This window comes from Homo sapiens, chromosome 1, assembly GCF_000001405.40.
Source record: "Homo sapiens chromosome 1, GRCh38.p14 Primary Assembly".
Lineage (NCBI taxonomy): Eukaryota > Metazoa > Chordata > Mammalia > Primates > Hominidae > Homo > Homo sapiens.
This window is the reverse complement of record NC_000001.11, coordinates 47,843,071-47,860,358: the sequence shown is the minus strand read 5'-3', so window position 1 is coordinate 47,860,358 and position 17,288 is coordinate 47,843,071. Positions and strand designations below refer to the sequence as shown.

Here is a 17,288-nt window from a genome sequence, read left to right as displayed (position 1 = left end):
ACAGTAATGGCTGCACACCATCAGGGTGAGCTTGTGCAGCTGTGGTAGCTTGGAAGAGGGCAAGTGTTTAGTAACAACTAGGTGGGAAAGACTTATAGGAGAAAGCAGCCTTCAGCTGAGCCTTCAGGAATTTGAAGGAGAGTTTTAAGAGAGGGAAACAGCAGGAATGAAGGAGTGCAGGTGGTGATTTGAGTCGGTTTAGATCAACCAGCATTTAGTTCTCCAGGAATGAAAGCCTCAGGACATCAAGGGCCAGTGACTGCCCTGTCCGCCATCACAGCCCTGGTACCTGCACTGTCTAGCACCTGGGAGGCACACAAGGTAGTGCAGTCTGACCAAGCAGATTCACACCCTGGTTCCACTGCATCTCCAGTTGGGTGACCCTGGGCAAGATACGTCACCTCCCTGAGCTTCATTTCACATCTGTCAACAGGACTAACCAGGTTGTAGTAAGGGCTAAGTGAGCTCATGAATCTGAGGGTTTGGTTAACCGTGAAGAGTTGTCGATGTGAGGAGTGATCATTATTATACAAAATAGAATGACGTCAGCCCTGTGATAGAGGTGCCAAGGCTGGAAGGTGCTAAGGACTTCATCCTCAAGGGAGAAGCTGGACAGACACTTGTCAGATTGGTCTGATTTGGGCAGGTGGAGATGGTGGGGAAGTGGGGGCCACTCTGAGCCAGGAGATGTGATCACTGCTTCTTCCACCACGATGAGCAGCAGCTAAGGCATGCTCTGGCCACATGCCTGCTGGTGCATGCACAAACCTCCCCAAACTCCAGGGTCAGGCCAGAAAGGGGCTGCTGCAGAAAGACTTCTGAATTCTGTGGCCAGAGCTCTACAAGTCAAAACTAAGGCAGGTAATGCCCAGGGGCTACATGAGACTATCCTCACACACAGTTGTTGGGAAGAAGTATAAAAGGAGGGTGTGGGGTGGACAGGGCTGTGGGGCTGATTCTGAGTACAGGGCTGGGGTCCAACTGGAGCTCAGATGAACCACAAAGGCCAGGTGAGTACCTGGTTAGCCCTATCCGTTTCCCAGCCAGTGTGAGGCTGGCTGGCTGTGGGTAACCACCAGACCACAGCAAAGGCGGTGGGAGGAGCAGGCCAGATGGGTTAGAGAGGGCAGGAAAAAGAAAGGAAGGATGGGGGAAACAAAAGGGTCAGGGCTGCAAAGCTTCAGTCTGCTGGAATGAAGCACCATGCCAGCCTCAAGAGGGGCAGCTTTGTGTCCCAGAAAATGATAACTCTCAGCAAGTACCCCTCTGTTCCTTGCCAGCTGAGCAAAGACCACAGCTTGCTTGGTTGCAAAGACCACCCCTAAGCAGGCTCAAAGACCAGCCTGCGAGTATGTGTATGTGAGTGAGGAGGGGTGGTAACTGTGGCTGGATTTGATTTAAGGAGCAGACAGGTTTGCCCACCTTGACTAAGCCACCATGGTTCCCATGCCCAGAAAGGAGCTCTCTGCTGTGCCCAGTTATCCCACTAGTCCACCAGGCCGCCATCCTGAGGACCTTTCTCTAGAGGCATCTGCAGGCTTAGCCACTCTAGCAGGGCAAAGGCCTCTTCTTGTCTGGCAGGCTTCTGGAAGAGACAGCAACACTGGCTGCCTACCACCATTCAGGATGAGGCAGAGTTAAAGCACATGGCTTTGGGGATAAGGCAGTCATGTTTGAATCCTGACTGTACTTGTAAGCTGTGGGAAACTTGGAAGTCACTTCCCTTTGCTGAGGCTTACTGTCATTATCTGACACTGGATTAATAAATTTCACTTTGTAAGGCTATTAAGAATATAGTGTGGCTAGGTGTGGTGGTTTACCCCTGTAATCCCAACATTTCGGGAGGCCGAGGGGTGAGGATCACTTGAGGCCAGGAGTTTGAGATCAGCCTGGGCAACATAGCAAGACCCTGTTTCTACAAAAAAATTTTAAAATTAGCCAGTCATGGTGGCACATGCCTGTAGTCCCAGCTACTCAAGAGGCTGAGGCGGAAGGATTGCTTGAACCCAAGATTTTGAGGTTGCAGTGAGCTGTGATTGCACCACTGCACACCAGCCTGGGTGATGGAGCAAGACCCTGTCTCAAAAAAATAAAATAAAATAAAATAAAATAAAATAAAATAAAATAAAATAAAATAAAATAAAATAAAATAAAGTAAAATAAAGAATGAATGACTATTGTAGTTGCCCCTTGTCGGAGGATGCCTGAAACCGCAGATAGTAGCAAACCCTGTATATGCTGTTTCTTCCAATGCGTACGTATGATAAAGTTTGATTTATAAATTCAGCACAGTGAGATTAACAATAATAACTAATCATACAATAGAACCATTATAACAATATACTTTAATAAAAGTTATGCAAATGGGATCTCTATCTATCTCTCTCAAAATATTTTATTGTGTGTACTCACCTGTCTGCAAGTAACTGAAACCATGGAAAGTGAAACTGTGGATAAGGGGTGGGGGGTGGGTACCGTATTAACTAAGATACAAAATGCTTGGCACAGTCCTTGCACACAGACATTATTAGCAGTTACTCCTCAATGAGGACTTACTGTGTGTCAAAATGATGCTAAGAGAAGCAAGGGCCAGTGGCTACATCCAGGGAGTAGACCACCTAGAAGTAGGGGTGGGATCTGGGGAGAGTTCCTTCACTCCCTCACTCTTTCATTATTCTTGGAGGCCTTCTCTGTGCCCAGCCTGGGCAGGGCCCTGGGAAACTGATGTTGATCAGAATGCTGCCCTAGGAGGTCAGCTGAAAGGACAGACAAGTGAACAGACAGACCTCGGGCACAGCAGTCAGGAGGAATTCAGAGGGACACCCAGAGGTAGGTACTGAGAAGGGGGCCTTAACCCCCTTGCTCACGGGATCAGGGAAGGCTTCCCCAAGGAGAAGTCTATGGTTCTGTGCCTGGAAGGAGGCATAGAAGGTTGCTAGGTAGGCACACGGTGGGGCAGGGCTAATGCAGCAACGGTGGCTGGCCCGGCTCATTGTGCCTAAACAGGAGCACCTGCCAAGTCTGCAGGCTAAGAAGATGAGAGCTCAGGCAGCAAGCTCTGGGAGTGGCTTCAGGAAGGGGGAGGGTCCAGGATACTAGGGTTTCCCTGATTAGGGAGCACCTACTAAAGGCCCAGGGGCTGAGGGAAGGGGAAGCCACTTCAGGAAAATCCTTGCAATGCACCAAGACTGCCCACTTGGATGCAGAAAGTGCCTTTATGATGGTCAACTCCAAAACATAAAGGTGAACAGAGGCCACAGTTTGCTTGGCTGCAAAGGCCATCTCCCAACAGGCTCAAGGACCGAAGGCAGTGCTACTGCGGTCACCTGGCAAGTTGTTGGACCATTGCTGAAACTGTCAAAAAACCTCCTATTCAGCTATTCTCAGCTGGCTGTGGAGGAGCTCTGAGTGACAGCTTCTCCTGCACATCAATGGCTGACAGCCTCTAGTACGTTTTCCTTTTCCTTTTCCTTTCCAGGCTCACATCTTACCACTCACCTCTCTCTCTGCCTGCGGGGCCCAGGCCTCATCATTTATCAAGATAAAGATCTATCAAAGTCTCTGAGAAGGAGTGGGATAAAAAGAGTTTGTGGGAGTAATAAATCTCTTTTAGCATAGGTGGTGAGCAAGGAATTCATCCCAGACTGTGCTCTTGAAAAATGAGAGGCTGTGTGTGGACAGTGTGTAACCAGAGCTTGAGGGTGGGTGCATGGTTGGAGTGAAGTGGTCCACTTAGACCATCAGGACATCATGACTGGAAAAACTCTGAGCCTCTCTAAGCACCATGCTGTGTCCTACGATGGCAAAGCTGGTCCTAGAATCAGGGACTGGGACTCTCAGCCCACCTCAAAATGCCTTTTCAAAGTTGAGGGAGATGGTATTCTAAGCCCAAACATATCCTAAATCCAAGAACTAACTGCATTCATCCACCCAGCCCTTTCATTATTCACACACACATTCATTTTCACTTCACACTCTCATGCGTTCACTCACTAATATTTACTGAGCACATACTGTGTGCCAAGCACCATGGCAGCAGTAGGACAGCAGAGGGTAGAGCAGGATCCATGGCAAGGGAGGCAGAGAGATCCCAAAGTAGGGTCAGGAAGCACTCCACAGTGTGTGTGGAAGGGGTGCCTGGAAGCAGGCAGGGGTCCTGCCCGCAGACCCCGCTTACATGGTGGGCAGAAAGGGAGCTATCTCTGTGCCACTCATCCAGGCTGAACAGCATTTCAGGGGCCTTTCTTTGAGTCCAATCTCATGCTTAGAAAGTGGCTTGTCCATCCTTCCAGGGAAAATGGTTTCTCCTCTCCTCACATCTCTCTTCTTCATGACAGCACAGTGAAAAACTAGGGGCCAGGGTCTGGGGCATTTTTCATCTGCAAGCGCCCTCATCCACTAAGGCTGCTATAACATAATATCACCAACTGGATAGCTTAAATAACAGATATTGATTTCTCTTAGTTCTGGAAGCTGGCAAGTTCCGTATCAGGGTGTTAGCATGGTCAAGTTCTGATGCGGGCCCTCTTCTGGTTTGCAGATGGCTGTCTTCTAGTGTGCCCTCACAAAGTGGAAAGAGAGAGGAAGTAAGCCCTCTGTGTCTTTCCCTGTAAGGGCACTAATGAGGGCTCCACCTTCATGACCTGATTACCTCCCAAAGCCCCCATCTCCAATTACCATCACATTTCAGCATAGGAAGTTTGGGAGAACACAAGCATTCCATCCATAGCAGTGGACAAATGGATAAACGAATCATACTATGTTCACAGAGTGAAATACTAGACAGCTGTCAGAATGGATGACCTATGCGTGTCAACATGGGTAAATCTTACTTAGATAATATCCGGTTAAAAAGGCAAATCAGAACAATATGTGCAGTCTTCTACTTATGCAAATTTAAAAACAGAACGATATCCCATACTGTTTATGCACATATGTGCATGTAATAGAAGAGTAAAAATGCAGACAAGGATACACTCCAGCCTCAGAAGTGATTGCCTCTGGAGGACAAGAGAAGGGACTGGGATTAAGGAGAGGAAAGGGAACTTATGATTCTATACATTTTGTTTTTAAAAAACATGTGAAACAAATATAGTAGAAGATCAATATTTTAAAAAATATGGGAAACAAATATATTGGAAGATCAATGTGTGTTAACTCTCAGTAGCAAATACATAGATATTTATTCGATTTCTCTGTACTCTTCTTTTGAAATATTTCATTTTAAATAAAAAGGTTTAAACAAAACCCAGTCTTATTCAAAAACCCACATGAACCACAGTCTAAGGGCCTCTGAAGTTTCAGCTCAGTGCCAAGGTACTCTGAGCCATTTTATATCATATCTGCTGATGATCCCAAGAAGGCCTATTACCCTCATTTCACAAATGAGGAAATAGGCTCAGAGGTGGTAAGCAGCTTGCCCTACATCACACAGCTATTCACTTGAAAAATGTGAGCTCCAAACTTTTTTACATGTGACTCCAAAGGCATACTCTCTCCCCTACCTCTCACCACCTATACAAGCTGCCTTTTTAAATAAAATACTACAAACTTCAATAAACAAACACCAAACAAAATGCAAACAAGCTCAGGGGCAGAGCCTGACCTTGAATTCTACCTCTGTTACTGCCTATCTGTGACCTTTGGTGAACTACTTTCCCTCTTTCAGCTTTACTTGCTCTAAATGTAAAAAAATGCAAATTGCGAGGTCACTTCCCTAGCAGGGTCTAAAGCACTTCGTTAGTGTCATTATTACTTGCTAAAGTGGCTTGTGGCACCCTACACTCTGTTTTGAGACCCTCACCATCAAATCACAGAGGACTATGACTTATTCCAGGCAATTAGCAAAGTGATTTAGTTTCATTGATTGGATAAAACATTTGTGCTCCAGTTACATCTTGATTATGTGACCTCAAAGGAAAAAAGCCTTAATTCAGACGCCTGAAGCATCATCTGCAATACCTTCCTTCCCTGATCAAAACAGAACCAGACTCTGGAGATCAGCTGAAGGAAGAGAACAGGGGCTGCAACAGCCTCATGAGAGAGGCCAAAGGAGGGTAAGTCATTCACAACCTTTCCTAGTAACCCCTTCCCAAGAGGTAGCATGACTGACCCTGCCAACTCTAGACAGTAGGCATTGTGCTAAGAATCTGACATATATTTTCCTAGTTTCAAACCCAGGAGACCGTCCCCATTTTACAGAGGTTCAGAAATTGAAGTGGCCTGCCCAAAATGACATAGCTAGTAAGTAGCAGAGTTGAAACCCATGTCTTTCTGACCCCAAAGCTCTGCTTGTAACTATTATGTCATATGAATTGTGGGAGATAGGCCAGAATGAGGCTAGTGGGAGAAGGAAACAGTAATGAAATCATTATAGTCTCTCTGTAAGCCATCTAAGGAGCTAGGCTTGCTTGCTGCTGCAGGCAGTGGGAGCCATTGCAAGGTTTAAACAGGGAGAGATGTGATCATATTTGTGGTTTAGAAAGTCCACTCTAGCTACGACTTGGAGAATAATTGCAGAGTAAGAGGTGGGAAACAGAGACCCCAGTTAGAAGTCTTGTTATGGTTTTCTAGGCCAGAGGGGCTTAAGCTTGTGTAGGGCCAGTGACAGCTGAGAAGAAGACAGATTGACAGAGCTATTCAAAATCTAATAAATATTGGATGGGTGGATAGGTGGATGGATGGATGGGTGAGTGGATGGTAGGGGAGGAATCAAAGATGACTTCTCCCAGGATAACCCATATTAACCATCATGGTCTCCACACAGTCCCTGAGCTAGGCTCCCAGAGATCCTTTTAGACTCTTTCCTGCGTGACTTTCCTGGTTCTGAAATATGTGGAAAGGTTTGAGGTCAGACATGATGAGAAATCCCACCAGAGTTATCCCCAACCCTCAGCCTCCAAGTTCAGTGACCACCACCCTGTGGAGACCTGCTGGGCCCAGAGTGCGTTTGGGAAAAGATTCTGGGCAGTGGGAGGCAGCACTGTCCAAACACAGATGCTGCCGGAGGTGGGACCCAATATGTACCAGCAAATATTGATCTTGCCCCTTGGCTAATTCGGGCCACTGCTAGACAATGCCGGGGTGCGTTGGTGGGTTTGGGCCCCAGGCTGCAGACTGAGGAATGTGGAGTCCCAGGGATATGTGTTTGCTCAACTCCCAGATCTTGACATTCCCCAGCTTGACCATCTCCCAGTGAGTGGCCCTCGGCCCTAGCATCAACCAAGCCCCCGTTCAGGGTATTTGCTCAGTGGCCACTCTGCTTAGCCAACATTCATTAGAAAAGGCTTTTCTCTGCTAGGCATGCTTCCAGGATGTTGGGGAGGCTTTCCCACCCACCCCCCTTTACCTGCCCCACCAGCCCTGGCTGCCTTTGGGGAGCCGTGGAAGTGAAACTCTTAAACCCAATCAAAGAGAATATGAGAACTCAGCTGGGCCTTCAAAGAGGTATTAGTCACCATCGCCCTGTTTTAAAGATGACCAAAAATATATATATACTTTGAAATACTCAACTTTGGGGCAGGTATTATGGTTGTTAAGAGTTCTTCAGTCGAAGACACTTGGGAAAATGAGCTTGGATGAATAACTTAACCTCAGCAGCACCACCACCACCCACCCCATTTCTTCATCTGCAGAATGGGGATAACAATGGTACCTCCTCCTCTGGGATTATTGAAATAGTATGTAACCAGTGCCTGGAACACAGCAGAAATGGATAGGCTCAGAGGGAGCTCGGGCAATCACAGCGTGCTTTGAGAGTCTGCTGGTCCTGCTGAGAGCTGACATTCCCGGAGAGTTCTGGCCAGACGTGACCAGCAATGGTGGCCCTGGTGGGCTGCAGGGAAGGCTCAGATTCTTGGCGTTGCGCAGCCACATGGGGCCTGCTTCCAGCTCTCTGAAACGGGCTCACATCATTGAAAGGGGATCGTGAAAATGAATCCCATAGTGGGTCAGGAAGTGGGGGAGGCAGAAATTTAATTCTGTTCATGGTCGGTTAGATTACTTTGGCCTGGAATTCCTAGCCTCCAACAGCAACAAAGGCTGCCTTAGAATCCTTATGTGTGTGGCTCCATGGGGCCAGGAGCTCCGCACGCCTTACCAAGGGACTCTGCCCCAAACCTCCGCCTGGCCTCGTCTATCTCAGGCCGCAGTCTGGGCCCAGCTCTCATTCCAGAGCCCCGGAGGTTTCTCGGGAGCCTAGTCCCCCAGGGCCCATGGCGGTGGCTGGTGGGTGTTTGGGTTTGGGGTTATTCTTTGGACAGTTTCTAGCTTTCTGTTTTCCTTTCCCTTAGCACAGAGCTCTAGAATGACTCTTGCTAGCCTCCCTTGCTTTTGCTCACTCTGCCTTTGGGTTGCCCTTTTGTCATTTCATAGACATTTGTCAAGAGCCTACTTTGTGAATCACATTGATTAAGAGCACAAATTCTGTAGCCAGACAGTCTGGGTTCAAATCCCACCTCTGGCACATATTAGCTGAGTTATATTGAGCTATTTCCGCAATTTCTCTAAGCCTAGGGTTCCTCGCCAATAAAATGATAATGCTCACAGAACCAATGGGAAGGCCCAGGACAGTGATGCATGTGGTGCGATTTGCTCATGTCTAGTACTTAGTAGGTCAGCCTCTGTGGGATATGTACACACACACTCAACTAATTCTCACAGTGGCCCTGGGAAGTGGGGATTGTCACTCCCATTGTGGCTTGGGACACTGAATATCACTTGTCCGAGCAAATGACAGAGAAGGACTTGGAGCAGAAACTTCTGACTCTACAAAACTCTCTGACATTTCTTCAGCTCCAGTATAACTCAAAAGAAGATCTAAATTTCTTACTGAGCATAATGTCAAAAATCAATCTCTTTCCCTCTCTCCCTCCCTTCCTCCCTCTTTTTCCTCACCCATGTCCCACTCTGTGACTACACACACCACCCCGCAGGTTCACATACATTCTTGTGACTCTCCTTAGGTTGGGGGACATAGTTATTATCCCAAGAGGCCTTGATATTTAAAAGGCTGGTTTCCCATTTTGATTATTTATAATTTGTTATATTTTATGTGCTGATGAGCTGCTTTAGTTCTGAAGGGCTGGGGTGGGCCATGGAGCATGGGGTGGGAAGAAGGAGAGTCATGAGTGTGCAGCAGAGTCCAAGACAGCCTGAAACAAGGAGAATGGGGCCTGTCACCAGTCAGTCCTCAGTGAGCCCAGACTCTGCCCTCCTTCTCAGGTAGAACATTCATATAGAACAGGGGTCTCCACCACCTGGTCTGTGGACTGGTACCAGTCCATAGCCTGTTAGGAACCAGGCCACACAGCAGGAGGTGAGCAGGTGAGCGAGCATTACCACCTGAGCTCCGCCTCCTGTCAGATCAGCGGTGGCATTAGATTCTCAGAGGAGCATGAACCCTGTTGTGAACTGTGCATGCAAGTGATCTAGGTTGTGTGCTCCTTATGAGAATCTAAGGTCTGATGATCTGAAGTGGAACAATTTAATCCCTAAACCATCTCCCAACCCCCGAGTCTGTGGAGAAATTGTCTTCCATGAAATCGGTCCCAGGTGCCAAAAAGGTTGGGGACCACTGATATAGAAGACATGAGCCAGAGGAGGCGGAGAGTGGGCAGGGGCCCACCTGCAGGATTCATTCATTCCCTCCCTCCCGTCTGCACTTCCTTCTTAGTGGTGCCAGGCAGCACTCACTCACCCCTTGGTCCAGGCCAAATCCCAAGTCAGGCACTGGGGCACCAAGATGGGGAGGTGGCTTGGCCTGGAGGGAAGGGCACAAGCTGGAGTGTGGGAGACCAAGGGTCAAGGCTCAGCTCTAGCTCTGCAGTGTCCATGCAATGTGCCCTTAGGGTGGAGAGCACCTATGAATGTTCATTGAATGCATGAATCTAGATTCTTAGACCCCTGCTCTTTCAAGGTTGGAAGAGGCCTTTCGGATTATTTTGGCCAAGCTTCCATATGGTGTTAGGGGCCTTTCCTCAGTTTCTGACAGTAGCTTGCATATACTCCTCCTGGTGAGCTCAGCTCTGCCTGGGACAGCCTACTCCATCATGAGATAGCACAGACTGTGAGAAAGTCCTCCATCACACGTCCTCTTGGTTACTGACTCTGTGTTCAGGCCTTTGCCCCTGTCCTGGCTGAGAGGGACTGGGCCAGCTCCTGTGAGAAGTCTACAGCATCCTCTAGGACTTGTGACTAGGGGAAAGCTCCCTAGAAGCCACACCTCCTATGCAGGCCCCAGTGACAGGATTGTCTGTGGTCCAGCCACCTCCCAGCTGAGGGTGGGAAATAGATTTTCTTTTGTATAAACAAGTAGCTCGAAGACCCAAGGCAGGGGAATTTGATCTGGGGTGCATGCCTTGGTTTTGCAATTCTCCTGTGAGTCTGTGGGCCAGTGCTGGCTGGGGCTGCAGCTTCTTCTGGAAGGAACAGGCCTGTGAAATGCCAGGTTAAGCCAAATGTCCCATCAGGGGATTCTACTTTGGGCTGCAGTGGGTGGGGATGGAGCAGGAAGGCAGTTGTGTAAGGCAGGGTGCTGACCACAGTGGTAACAAAAGCAAAAACCTTGGGCGGGAGCCACGTTGGCCTTCAGGGGCCAGGTTTGCCCTGTCCTCCCTCCCGCACCCCATCCCCTCACTTAGCAGCCAATCCCACCGGCTCACACCAGGTCAAACAAAACAACAAAGACTGACAATGCCCAATGCCAGATGGAGACAGAGAGGTAAAGACACAACTTCTGCCATCTCAGAACTTACATTCTAGCTAGCTGGGGCTTTGAGAGGTGCCCACTCACAGTAGGGAAGAATTCAGCACTGGGAAGATTTTCCTGTCTTATTTTGGCAAATCTTAGGTGAGCCACTGTATTCATCTGCTGAGACTGCCGTAACAAAGAACCACAGACTGGGTGGCCGAAGCAACAGGAATGTACTTCCTCACAGTCCTGGAGGCACAGTCCAAGGTCAAGGTGCTGCCAGCATTGGTTTCCTCTGGGGCCTTCCTCCTTCGTTCACAGATGGCAGTGTTCTGGATGCCTCTTCTCGTGATTGTCCAGTTGTACACATGTCTGGTGTCTCTGTGTTTCCCAATCCACCTCTTTTTATAAGGGCAACAGTCAGATTGGATTAGGGCCCACCCTAATGGCCTCATTTAAACTTAATTACCTTTGTAAAGGCCCTATCTCCAAATACATCACATTCTGAGGTCCTGGGGGTGGGAGCTTCACCATATGAATTAGGAGGGAGTAGGACACAATTCAGCCTTATCAGCCACTTAACTGCTGTGATCCTCAATTATTTTCTCAGCTGTACCAGAGACTGAAAGGCTGCTGCAGAGCTCACATCAGGCAATGTGCATGAAGCCTTTAATAGCCACATATAGACAGGAAGGGTTGCCGATGGGGACCCACAGGGATGAAGGCCTCTGGCATTTCAGGGAGCCATGTCCATAGGGAAGATAGCCTAATATCCTTAAGGACATGTGACTACCTGAGAAGACAGACAAACTCTCCCTTTTCTTTTCTCCTGGGGACACATGGTCAAGGATTAGAACCATACAGCCAGACTTGACAGGCCATGATTTCCCATTATTCCTTTGCTGTGGAGCAAGTGAAGGCAGCTAGGAAATTGTGTTCGGCTGGGGGTCTGGTGACCTGGACAAACTTTCCCTGCCCTTCCAGGTTACTAACCCAACATTCAGGGAATATTTGCAGCCCTCAGTTTCCTCGTTTGTGTCATGGGCAAGCTGAGAATTTAAACTAGAAGATGCTAAGCTGTGTCACTCTGGGGGTTCATGCATCTGTAACAAAGGCAAAACCATGGGCTGGAAGCCACGTTTGCTTTTAGGGTCCAGGTTTGGTTGAGTGTTTTCTGATATGATGACTGTGACTACATTCTTAAATCCCCTGTGGGCCTGTGAGCAGGGTCTAGTTCTGCCCACTCAGGATAGCCTGAGCCCTGATCCTGGTTACAGCCTGAGCCGTAATCTTGGTCACAGCCAGAGCCCTGATCCTGGTCATAGCTGACCCCTCACCCTGGTCACAGACTGGCTGTGAGGAATGTAGATGGTAGAATGCACACAACTTCCATTATAGAAATCACACCTAAAATTGGGGGTAATATGTGTATCCCCCTTTTCTCAGCCCTCTACTTTCTATTAAGTGCCTGAATTACTTAACATTTTGGGTTTGGCCCTCATAGAGAAAAGAAAGATCTTGCTGTCTCTCCATGTGTTTCTCTAGTCTAGGGGCTGGGGTCCTTGAGTCAGGGGAGGCTGTCTTCTCTAGTCTTGCTTCCTTTGCATACAGCAGAGTAAAACGGGGTGGAGCAGCCTAGCCTGGAGAGAGACGTCTCTTAGAAGAGTTTGTCTCAAGCTCAGGGCTCTCAGGTAGCTGGAATTTATGGCGTCAGCCCCGCCCCATGTCATTAATAAAGGAAAATTAGCCCCCTCTGGGTGAGGACATTTTTCACTGGAGTCTGAGGGCTGTAATGAGGCGCTATCAAAGCCCTAACGTGCCATATGAGTTTTATATGCCGTTTCCTACAAGTTCTGAACAGCTCGGCCGATTTATAAGGTAATGATTTTTCCATCCATAATTTCTTTCGTATGATTTTGGTAATGTGGACATTTCCCCCTCTTGACTGGGCTGTGCACAACCTAGTTGAGTGGATTAAGGCAGGATGGAGAGGGAGAGCTTTTTTCTGAGGCCCAGATCCATGTGCAAGGGCTGCAGGGCGCTGGAGCAGATGTGAGGGAATACTGAGCTCAGTTCCGCATCTGCTGCTGACTCCTGCAGCCACTGTGTGCAATTGACTTTCCAGCTCTGGGCCTCAGTTTCCCCATCAGTCCAGTGAGAGGGCACCATTCAATGTCAGTTGACATAACAATGTCAAAACTATTCAATTCATTGCAACCCGACATATTTCCATGCATAATGACCCATGCCAGCCACTGTGCTGGCCATTGGAGACACGAAGATAATCAATATGGGCCCTTCCTCCAAGATGGAAGAACTCTCCAAAAGGAGTTGCATGCTTTCAGAACATAGAGGCGACCAGTCCTTCCTGTGAAGGGGGTGGTGTGGCAGCGCACCATGGAAGATAAGTCCATTTTACCTGGCTAGGAATGACCCACTGCAGAGCTTTTCAGTTGAGGTAGTGTCCTCTTTAACCTTAGCTAAGACCTTGGCGGCAGGCCCAGCCTCCCCAAGTGCAAGACCACCTCCAAGTTCCCCCAAGAAGGAGCAGTTTCCAGGAAAAGCCCTTATTCTTTCTCCTTTCCCAAGGCCAACACCTCCTCTCCAGATGCTCCAGTGGGGAGGAGGTCAGAGAAGAAACACCTGGGAGGATCCCTGCACACCATAAATCTACCCCTCTCCATCCTTTGATCTGGACACTCCTATCTCCCGCAGATCACTGCCCAGGAGGTAGCTATCGAGCTGAGGGTCAGAGGGCACCCAGCCCTCATTTGTGTGTGTGTGTGTGTGTGTGTGTGTGTGTGTGTGTGTATGCATGTTTTAACTTAACCTGGCCTGCATTATGTTAAGCCAGAATGTGTTACAGGTGTGAATCACTCCCAGTCTAGGTGGATGATCTATATGGATGTTCACCCATTGTCCATGTTCCAACTCAAGAGTGGTTCAAACTGAAAAATACAGTAAGTCCCCCAGATGTTTCGTCTACAGGACTCAGTGAGCCCCTGCAGGGATTTTTTTCCTTTTGTTCCCTGAATTGACCAGATGCCTTGCCTTCCCTGAGACCTGGCCTCTATGTTTCATGTACCTCACTCTCACTGTCTCACTCAACCTCCCCAGCACCTCAGACGTGAGGGTCACAATCAATCCCCTCCACAGGTGAGGAAATGAAGACCCAAACAGGCACAGCCCCAGCTATGGTCATACAGAGAATTAGAGAAACAGGCTAGGAACTCAGGCCTTCGGCTCTTGGATGAGCACATATCACTTCTACCACATCAGCTCCTTCTCACTGCCCAGGAGTAAGTCTAGCTCATTTCACAGATGAGCCAGATGGGCAGTTGGAGCAGGTGGAAATGGCAATGGGGCAGCTCTTGGCATCCCTCTTTCCCATTCCTCAGAAGTTGGTGCATTTCCCTTGGAAAGAAAAGCCACTTCAACTTTCCTGTAATCAAGTTTTTTAATTAACTGGAGGGGGAAGCATGCTGAATGTATTAACCACATCTTAGCTATATGCTGGTTCTTTTCTTTTTTTAACTTCTTCATTGAGAAGCTCTAGCAGTCTTTGCATAGCAGCTATTAAAGTATTGCCATAAAGCCAGGTATGGGAAGTCCTTAAGCCTGGCTACTCACGCAGACCCCCTTTGCAAATTTATGAAGATAGAGACACTTCCTCCACCCTTTCACTTTCCCAGCATGCAGGTCAGCCCTGGAAAGAGGAAACGTACTGTGTGTGTCAGTTCATTCAGCAAGCATTTACTAAGCACTTACTATGTGCCAGGCATTGTTCTAGGGATTTCAAATAGAATAAAACGTGTTCATTTCCTTTAAGAAGCCCACAGTTCAATGAGGACTAAACACATTAGGAGGTAACTATTCAGATTATAAAAATACATTCCTTATTATACAAAAATAATCTCTCAGCAGCCACATTGTCTGTGGTCATATATTCACATACCTTGTATCTAAAGCCCCTAAAAGCAGACTTTAAACACCCACTCTATAATGAATTTGCTGCACATATGCCTGAGGAGAGATAGTTTATTATGATTATAATTATAATTTTTCTTCTCATTGTCATTAATAGCAGTCTCTAAAGTCAGACTTCCTTGGTTCATATCCCAGTTTCACCATTTACTGGCTGGGTGACTGTGGGCAAATTACTTTACCTCTCTGTGCCTCAGTCTCCTAATATGTAAGAGGAGAATAATAGTGCCTGTAGCATAGATTGTTTTGAAAATTAGCAAAGATCATGGCTGTCAAGGTTTTACCCCAGTGCCAGACACTTAGTAAGAGCAAAATAATTACTCACTATTTTTGTTGTTATTATCCTAATATTAAGAAGAGAAAGTGTGGATTAAGGAGGTAAAATATGTCAGGGTAGGGTTAGACCTGAGACCAAGCTCCTAAATGAGATCATCTCCAGTTATCAATCACTACCATGCTAACGGACATGCTCTTTCCATAACGTGGCAGAAAAAGGGGTGGGAAGGTGAGCTTTTCTTGGAGGTGGAAGGGGCAAGGCATAGTCATTGGAACACAGGGGCCAAAGCTGGTCACGAGCACGCACCTGACCAGCGTCTGGAGATTGATGGACGGGGGACAGTGATGCTGGGTGGATGCCTGCACAGGATGGAATCCTCACCCTGTCTCCACCTGTCTTGGAAGGTGCTACCTGTTGGTGACTGCTGGAGGATCTCCTGCCCTGGGGGAGGGATGTGACCAGGTGTACTTCTGTCTTGCTCAAAGAACTGCAGTTCTTACATTACAGGGGCCCATCAGTCTGTGACTCAAGCCACCTGAGAGTCTGACTCTGAGTGTCTAAGTCAAAGGATCTCAGCTTCTGTTAATATCCAGTTGAAGAATTTACCCAAGTTCCTGACCTTTACTCATGCTGCTTTCACTGCCTGTAATTCTCTTACCATGAATCCTGTCTGTTGAAATCTTATCCTCGTAGGCCCAACAGATGTTCCTGAATCCATCATTCCCTCTCCGGGACTCACATCACTTTATGCTTTTTTCTCCTGTGAAGAATTTAGTTCATTCTGCCTTACCCTTGGAGCAGAGCGTCTGCCCATCTCTTGGGTTTGCCAGAGAGTAAGCACTGTACCTTAGCACACCTGAGTCCCAGGCACTCAGGCCAGAGCCTGGCCCAAAAGATGTTCATTGAGATCATAGGGATTGGAGTTGGAGGGCTAACGGCATCTGGGCAATGAGAGAAACACATCACATTGATGTGATCAGAGGACACAGAAAAGATGAACTTCTCCCGCCTCCAAGCTGGGCTGCCAGCCAGCCCTGGATGGGCCCCAACTCATATGGACCTCGTATAAGAAGGTGGCCCCCAAGAGCCACCCTCCCTCCCCAACTCTGGGCAGGCATGGACACACACGACTCTTGTGGGCTCCGGGAGAAAAAGGCCTATTCAAAGGGTGGCCTATAAAACCTCTTAGCTTGCACTCAGAGGCTTATATCACTTTTTAAAGTGTGGTCAGCACGGTGTTATTGCACTGGGGCTGCAGGGGACGGTGACATGATTTACTTGAGTAATTAACTGGTTGCTGCACCCAAACTCTAAGCAAACACAGTGCACTTGGCTGAAATTACCTGCTTCCGAGCTCCAGCTTTTCCTTGTGGGGTTCAAAGACATTCCAGGAGTTAGGGCTAAAGTCAGCTTCTATTGGGGCTTTCTTCCACATGTTACGGGCCTGGGGCTGGGTGCCCATCGAGAGAGGCTCCACAGCCCTGGCCATTCCATTTCCAAAAAGATCTATTCTGAATTGGCATCTTGGGAGGGGATAAACTACCCCATGTTTGGTTTCCTCTTCTTTTCAGGCTCCACACCCCACTCATCTGCCTTCTCCTGCAAGGGAGTCCTGTTGTCAGCAGGCTTTGACTGAGTTGGCAACTTCTTAAAACAGTTCTTACTTGAATTTCGGGCCACCCCTCTGTCTTCACTGCTTGCCTGGCTGGCCACTCCTTCACAGTGTTCCAGCTGGTTCCTCCTCATGCCCCTGACCTCTAAACATTAAGGTCTCTACCCATAAACCTCTCTTCTGTCTTCCTTCCTTTAAAAAGTCATCTCCCAAATGTATAACTCCATCCTGGACTTCCTTCCTGACACTCCGTCTGGTTGTTCAGCAGGCACTTCAAAATGCACATACCCTAAACCAAACTCCAAATCTTCCCCTACTCCCAAGCCTGCTCCACTCCGACAGTTGCTCAGGCCAGATCAACGGGGCTCATGCTGACTCCTCTTGCTCTCGCCCTACGTCCAGTTGGTCAGCAGACCCTATTGGCTCTACCTTCAGTCTGCATCCAGAACACCCCTGCTCACTTTCTCCCCTTCTCTCATAAGCCGCTGGACCAGGGTCCCTGCGTCTGCCCTGCACCCTGGCATTTTCTCCTCCACTCTACAGGCAGAGGGAGCCTTTAACATGCAAATCAGGTCTTATGCCCCCGGCTTAAAACCCTCCAGTGGCTCCCTCCTTGCTCTAAGGAAAAGGGTCTTCAGGATGGCCTTAGGTCCTGCTTGACAATCACCCCACCCCTACTGTCACCACTGACCTCATCTCACACCTCCCTCCTCCACCCCCTTTCA

The 17,288-nt window shown here is 48.2% G+C and overlaps 1 protein-coding gene across 10 annotated transcripts in view, besides 1 other annotated feature; it reads left to right on the top strand.

The window, feature by feature from the left end:
• TRABD2B (TraB domain containing 2B) overlaps positions 1 to 17,288 on the top strand; it is a 236,858-nt gene that overhangs the window by 137,027 nt on the left and 82,543 nt on the right. The gene's annotated exons all lie outside the window — the stretch shown is intronic.
• Positions 6,473 to 6,642: an enhancer, noted in NCBI's record as "experimental_8222 CRE fragment used in MPRA reporter constructs". NCBI's record gives its function as "activates a minimal promoter by MPRAs in K562 erythroleukemia cells, with activity observed for both the introgressed and non-introgressed 1:48319474 variant alleles {active_cell/tissue: K562}" and the evidence as "EXISTENCE:reporter gene assay evidence [ECO:0000049][PMID:34662402]".